Source organism: Homo sapiens, chromosome 19 (genome assembly GCF_000001405.40).
Source record: "Homo sapiens chromosome 19, GRCh38.p14 Primary Assembly".
NCBI classification, from domain to species: Eukaryota; Metazoa; Chordata; class Mammalia; order Primates; family Hominidae; genus Homo; species Homo sapiens.
The window spans coordinates 31314447-31321755 of NC_000019.10; the positions used below are offsets into that span (position 1 = coordinate 31314447).

The 7309-nt window shown below is 45.3% G+C and overlaps 1 protein-coding gene across 5 annotated transcripts in view, besides 1 other annotated feature; it reads right to left on the reverse strand.

Annotated features, from left to right (window-relative positions):
- TSHZ3 (teashirt zinc finger homeobox 3) overlaps positions 1 to 7309 on the reverse strand; it is a 201002-nt gene that overhangs the window by 164571 nt on the left and 29122 nt on the right. The gene's annotated exons all lie outside the window — the stretch shown is intronic.
- Positions 4424 to 4925: an enhancer, noted in NCBI's record as "NANOG hESC enhancer chr19:31809776-31810277 (GRCh37/hg19 assembly coordinates)". NCBI's record gives its function as "activates a minimal SCP1, AML or CMV promoter by ChIP-STARR-seq in naive H9 embryonic stem cells {active_cell/tissue: H9 hESC(naive)}" and the evidence as "EXISTENCE:reporter gene assay evidence [ECO:0000049][PMID:30033119]".

The window sequence follows — 7309 nt, forward strand, 5'->3', positions numbered from 1 at the left end:
CAGCTATCTGGCTGCTCACCTCCTTCTGCCCAACCTTCTCAGGGCCGGGTTTCTGATGCATTGTGAATCATTTCTAATGACAGGATTTCACATCCCCTTGTGATACTACATTCTTGTGCATAACTTGTAATTTGAGTGATTGTGAATTGTTCCGAGTGCCAGATTCGTATTTTGCAATAGATCAGGGTTTTATTCATATGTGAGTGCATAATTTTGCCTCAAGATGCGTTAGATTACATTAATTAACTTTGTAGCCAGAATGGGAGAAATTAACCGTTTGGATGAACCTTGCTCTGTAATCACCGTCATTCTCAGACCCCTTGAGTGTCCACCTCCGGGGCTGTCTGGAAGAGCAGGCAGTGAAATAAAAAGAAGGGGAAGGAATTTGGGGGCACAGCTCCAGGGGAAGGCTCAGCTCATGGCCCCTGGGAGAAGCCAGGCTCCTGAGACACTGGAGGTGCTTACCTCTATGAGAAAGGACGACGGGTCCTATATCCCTCTGTGTGTTTCTTCTAAACTCTACAGATGCGTGCTGGACAGATAGAGAGCATGGGATGTAATCCCAAGCAGGGAATCCTGCCACCAGGGGTTGCTGCACTGGACACTTCTGTCCTGGGCACAGATCAAGGGAAGAAAGCAACTCTGCCAAGAGATGTCTATCACCTATGCTCTCCCCGAGCGGCCAGCAGAAATGTATGAGCTACCTGGAACAGATGCTGAAAGGCGCATTATTTGGAATATGACCAATCCAACTTTCCTTTCATGATATTTATTTTTTGTTTCTTTTTCTTTTCTCTTTCCCCTTCTCCTTCGAGGCTCACATCAGCCATCCAATTTACTGACAGTATTGACCTCTTATAGAGGAGATTCCCCCAGCCCCGCCCTGTCCCAAAGCGTCCCCGGTCTGTTCATCACTTGGGACTGATAAGTCCATTTCTCCTCCAAAGGGTGGAGCTTGGCTGGGGGTACTCAGGAAGCTCTACTCCTGGGGGCGGGGTGCTGGATACTGCCAGGTGGCAGGACACATCATATCAGAGCCAGGCCAGGCCGCAGCAGTGGGGCCCCTCCTGCCCTCTGCCAGGGAGCTGGGTGTGTGCGCCCTAGACTTCCCTCACTCGCCACCCAGCTTGGATGGGCAAAGCACTAAAAGGTAAATATGAGAAATACAATTGGAATTATGATAAACAGAAATAAAAAGGGGCTAAAATCAGAAAGGTTTTGTGAAAAGAAAAACGGCTGGCAATAAAGCTGAAAACAGCAGTGCTCCGAGGCAATTTAGACTGCAAAACACAAACCATTAAGTTTGTGCATTATCTTTTAATTTAATCTTGAATGATTTATAATCCATCACGCAAGGCTTCAACCATATCCAATTATTCTCTGCTGCTTGATTGACAAGAAAGGTGATTTATTAAGCTAATAAAAAGTGATGTGAGCTGAGCTCATATAAAAAATAACCAGCCGGACAAAGACTTTAAAGAGACATCGACCATTTTTTTTTCCCACAGAGAAGGGTTTAGTCACTTTTACCCATTCAGCACTAATCAAGTAGCAACTTGGGAGAGAGTGGCAAGGTGTAATAATTACTGCTATATAAAACTAGACTTGCACTTCGGGTGGGTGTGTAAGGAGAAGGAAATAAATATTAAAACAGATAGAAGAAGTCTGACGCCCCTAAGAGAGTCCAAAATGCAGGAGGATCTCAAAGTCTTCAGTGATGAAAGCAGCACCAACACCAGCAGCTTTGTTTTCAGGGAGGGAGGCAGGAGTTCCCTGCTACTTAAAATGCCTTTCCCATTTTCCAGGGGGAAATCTGCCTAAATCTCCCAAAGCCTGTTTGTGAGAACTCCATTGTGTTTTCTGCAGCAGTAACACTGGAATGCTTGTATGCATGAATTAAAGGGGAAGACGGCACCTCTAAAGTCATCTCCTGTAATTGTTTACCTAATGCTGCTCGGAGACTCTGGGGAAAAGGCAGGTTTGCAAGATGAAGTGGTGTGTACGAGGCCTCTCCTCATACACAACAGGATGCCACTTTAATGTCCAAGATGCTGGCGTGTTTCAGTGAGCACAGCACTTCAGGACTAATGATGCAATCAAGCCTCTTGCAATCAAACAGCCTGGGCTGGGGAAATAGTGCTATTTGCGGCAGCCGCTGTGTCGTGTACTAAAATTTTCTGGAACAGAGAGGAAATAAGAAAGTAAAAAAGCAAAATTCTAAATTTTCATGGGGGAGAGGAGGGGCTGTTAGGGAAGGAAATGTTCAAGTGTCTGCTTTCCACCTCATGGAAAAGTGGGAAAAGCAGAGAGGGAAAGAATGGGGAGAGAGAGAGAGAAGGAGAAACAGGCAGAGAGAGACAGAAGCCAACCCCCGCCCCACCTCAGCTCACTGTACGCTGTGTCACTGAACAGTCTTTCTAGTCGTTTTCCCGTTTTATTTCTCAATTATTTGAGTCACATATGCTCCGGCCAAATATTCTCTGCTTGCTTTTATTTTCTACTGCAACCCATATTACCTACAGTATATTAAGCAATCTATAAGGGCCTGGCACCTTCTATCAATTTGAAGAAGATGATGCCAATGATTTGCAGAGGAATTACAACAAAGAAAGGACCACGGGAGTTGAAATTTAGTCGCAGGAGACTTTTTTCCAGGGACAAAATTCTCTTCTCCAGGATTTTTTTCATCCGTCAACAAAATCCAACGGGTTTTTCTTTTTACCAGCCTCCCTCCCCTCCAGCTCTCTGGGCATGCCCCCAGCCCCAGCCCCAGCCAGAGCCACAGCTGCCTAGGAGGGAAGCATTAAAACGCTGATATGCTGTAGTTTAATGCCCCAGCCATCTCTGGGCAGCTGTTCCAGCCGAGCCATGCCAGGGCCAGGGTGTGACCCACTGCAGCCACATCGGGACGATGGGGATGCTGAACAGTGCAGGCTCTTGATGGGGCAAGATGCAAAGAGCTGGGGGACCCTGGCTGCACCATACAACCCAGGACCTGCCAGGGATTCAGAAGCTCCCTGTGATGTCTCCTGGTCCTTATGTCCTCACCCCAAATTTACTGCCACACTGACCCTACTGGCCAAGCACAGCAAGGATCACAGAAGGCCTAAGGAACTCCCTGCTCAGACTCAAGACAAAGGAAGGAAACAGGCTGTGTAATTAAGGTGCACCAAGCCAGGTGTGAGGAGAACAGCAGGGTCTGGAGAGCAGGGCGCATCCCCAGACTGGCTGCAGCTGTCCCAAACGCCTGCCCCGCTGCTCCCAAGAAGGGGCGGCTTGTCATCATGCTTGGCTTTCATTAACTTTCCTTCCGGAAATCTGACCCGGACATCCGGGGTGGAAAGCATACAGAATCAAACTTCATTTATAAACTTTTCCCTCTGCATCTCTTTCACGCCTGGGTCCCAGGTGACCACGGAGCTCCTCCAGGCACCTCCCACCCCTGGTAAAAGGGCCCAGCCGTATTGACTCATTTGTGTGTGAACATTCGGCTGCAGGACTGTAAAAGCTCCCTTTACCAAAATCAATTCAAAGATTCAAAACAATCTATTGAAGAGTTTTGCAGCTAGCTTTTAAACCACTTATAAAAGACAACACACAGGAAAAATTAACCCCTGTGGCTCTATTAGGAACAGTATAATAAATATACATTTAAAAGATCTATAAACACATATTTATCTGCAAAATGTTCTTGCATAAAACTGTTATTGAAAAGGCTTTCATTTTATCTTTGTGTTATTGTAATTTTATTGAATTGCTTATTCATTCTTTGATATTGTATTTTAATGGTATTATAAATCTGTTTTATGTCTGATAGGAGCCTCATTGTAAACTGATATAACAGATAATATGGCAATTCACCATAAAAATTCTAAACCAAAAATGCAGATCGGAACGCAAAGAAGCACTTTAATTCATTCTCGGTTTCTTTTCATTTTATTTTTTAATTATTTTTCATGTGCTGGTTGCCATCTGTTGATAAAGGATGGTTGTGTGAAACTCACTGTACAACACAATAGGAACTTTTTTGTATAATTCTATTCATAAAAAATGATAACAGTATAAAAGCATTACACTTCTCTAGACTGAGGATCATTAGCAAGTTCATTGTATAAACTGATTTAAATTAGTCACTTCTGGAACAAAATCCTTTTTTTGTAAAATATCTTATTTTGGGTAATTTTTAGTATCATGAATAAAAGAACAAAAAAAACCACTTTCTAAAATGTCTCCTATTATTTTTATCCTTTTATTAAAAACAATGAAAAACAATTATGATAAAAGATGGTATCAACATGTATAGCAATTATGTCATAAGCCCAACTATGGCTCAGAAACTTCGCAGGAAGTTCATTCAATAAAAGTATCTTAACTTGCCATCTCTAAATGATGAGATTTCCATTATCAGGAACAAACGATCCGGTCACCAATACTGTGGCAAACACCTAGTCCCAAGAGCAGGGCTTTATAGCAGCTCTGGTGCCTCCTCATGGGCTCCTCCCATGGCCCAGACAATCCTACCACCCTGGTGCCATGGCTAAAAGCAGCTCATTAATCTCAGCTCTGTCTGATCAAGGATCCTCTGAGCCGGAGACCAGGGACCTGAGAAGTTGCTTTTCCTGGGTGAGTACATCTGAATATAAAAAGCAGGCGTCAAAACTGTCTCCTGTTAAAAGCCACCTAGTTCATTCCCCTATAGAGAAAAACAACAGGACTTAAGGAAAGTGTGGATCCCCACCTCACAACTTAGCAACACTGCAGAAACAAGCAGGCTATGAATAGCACCTGCCAAGACGGCTGGCTCAGCTGCAGATAAAAAGAAGAACGTTGTCAACACAAAAGCCTTCTATTACAAAATAGAGAAAAGTAGGTTTTCCTTCTTTAAGAATTTTGCACATAAATCATTGTTTCCAATAAACATTGTAAAGGTTTCATCAGTAATTTTTTTTAAAAAAAGCTACTCATATATATGAAGATCACTTGGTGAGACACAAACAATTAAGCCACACTGAAGAAGTGAAAATGGCTGAAACCCTAAGGTGAGCATATCCAGGTCTGCACAGCAAAACCCAGCCACAACCTGGGCTTCTCCCCTGAGCCCCAGCCCACCACTGAGGGAGACTGATGTCTCTGCAGGACTGAGAGGCAGGCCCTGAGGAAACCCGGGCTCACCCACCATGAGCTCATAGCCCCTCAAAGCATCACCAGGCAGAAAGTTTCTACTAGAACACTGAAGAGGGACAAATAACCACCATGACAACGGTAATCACAAAGAAAACAACAGTGTAACACCTTTTGTCGCCCTCAAAAGCACAAACATCACTGAAACAAGTTTTCTTTCTACTTAAGCTGCTTTGAAAAAAAAAGGCTGCTACTAGGGGCAGGAAGGCAGGCTTCATTAGCTGAATGACATATATGGACTCTTAAGATGCAGCCCCCCTGAGAAAGTAGCAATCGGCCCTTCCTTCCTAATTCTTTCCAACACACACGCAGTTGATAGAAGTGATGGAGAGTTTCTTGCCAAATCATCCTAAACTAGGACGTAACCGCTACAGCCTGGCTCAAAAACCAGAGCTTAGAGCTGCAGATGACCTGACGTATTAGGGAGCTCACACCCTGAAACATTTTCTCGGGTTACATCTGATCTATACAGAAACAGATGAAATATACATGTAGGTTCTTAAGTATAATAACCAAACAAATGCCTGTGAACAAGGACCCAACTTGAGAATGACAACATGACCACGGGGCTTCTCCACCGCTCAGGCAGGCGGTGGGTAAATATGACCCTGGACATGAATGCGTGACCCCCAAGCAATACTAGGCTCGTGTTTGCTTCTGTGCTTTGTAGAAAAGACGGATCCTGGACGTAGTCCTTTTTGACTTGCTTTATCTACCCATATAATATCACTAAGATCCATCCCTGCTGTTGCCCGTGGCTGCCGTTCCTTCATTTTTACTGCTCTAAAATATTCCATTGTGTGAATGTTATTTATTTAACCTTAAAGAAAATGTCTTTCTGAGACGTGACACCTGGAGTGACAGGTGTGTTCTGTGCTCTGGGCCCACCTGCGAGGGATGATAACTGCAGTTGTCCTCGGGTTGGGGGCCACATGTTTTATGATGTGTCCTTCTCGGGAGAAGGGACATGTTCAGGATGATCTGAGTAACTGACCTCTCCCTGGACCTAAGCCTTTGAAGGTTGTTGTAGTTAAGACACGGTCAGGTGCGGGTCCAAGAGACAGCACTAATGGCCACTGCGCCTGAGTCTGCAGTGCACCCAGGCTGCAGGGAGGAAGTAACCAGGAGGCTGAAGTCTCCTTGGCTCTTGGTCCCTTCCACTAAGACATCCTGGCTTCAGCTGTAGGTCTGGGTGTTCCTGGGAGAATATCTGTATCTCTGGTTGCAGGATGTCACTGAGTCCTGCGCAGTGTTCAATTCTGAGATGACTGAAGGAGAAGGAGGCAGAATTCCCTTCCCTACGGGTCCTGCTGAGATGTTAGCAGGTGTCAGGACAGGTCATCCGGCCCAGAGCCTCAAGATCCATCGTCCACAGAAGATCTGCTTCACATTTTTAAAATCATAGCTTGGCAACTGTCAATACATTGTCTCCCACTTTGCAATACATAAAGAATGTAAAACTGTGTCCTGTTGAAGGATGGCAGTGATACCATGCAAGCAAAATACAGTGCTTTATAATTTTTTTTCCAGCATCCCTTTCCACCAAGGCCTGGCCAGCTCCTTAATGTCTAAGTTCATCCTCTGAACCTGATGAATCAATCATTCCAAGGTGGAGGTGGGTAATGACAGTGCTGAGAAGGCCATGGCTCTCACTTAAGGCTGACATGGGAGACAGGCAGGGCTGGACGCTGCTCACTGGCCCGCCAATCGGAGCTCTACCTTCCAACTTCACAGTGCCCCTAGGACATGCCCGGTGGCGTCATCACATGGCTCACCACTGAAGCACTCCAGAGACCGTTCCCCGTTGTTTTTAACTGCCCACCTAGCAAGTGCATTTCTGGTTACTCTTATGAAATCTAAACATGGAGCCTACAGCTCTGCCTGAAACCTCATGGAAACACACCAAGGTGTCTGCATACGGCAGACTCACGCCAGGTTAACGCAAGGGGCCTGGCCACAATCAGGCAGCAAGGTCAAAAGCACCTGACACTAATGATGTATCCTCGTTTCCCCACAACAGCAGGCCCGACGTGGACAGCAGTACTTTCCATCCAGACTGTGTGTGAGACAGAGGGAGTGAGCCAGAGTTGAGGCCAGGAGAGAAAGAAGGTAGTGCTTAATTGTCGTT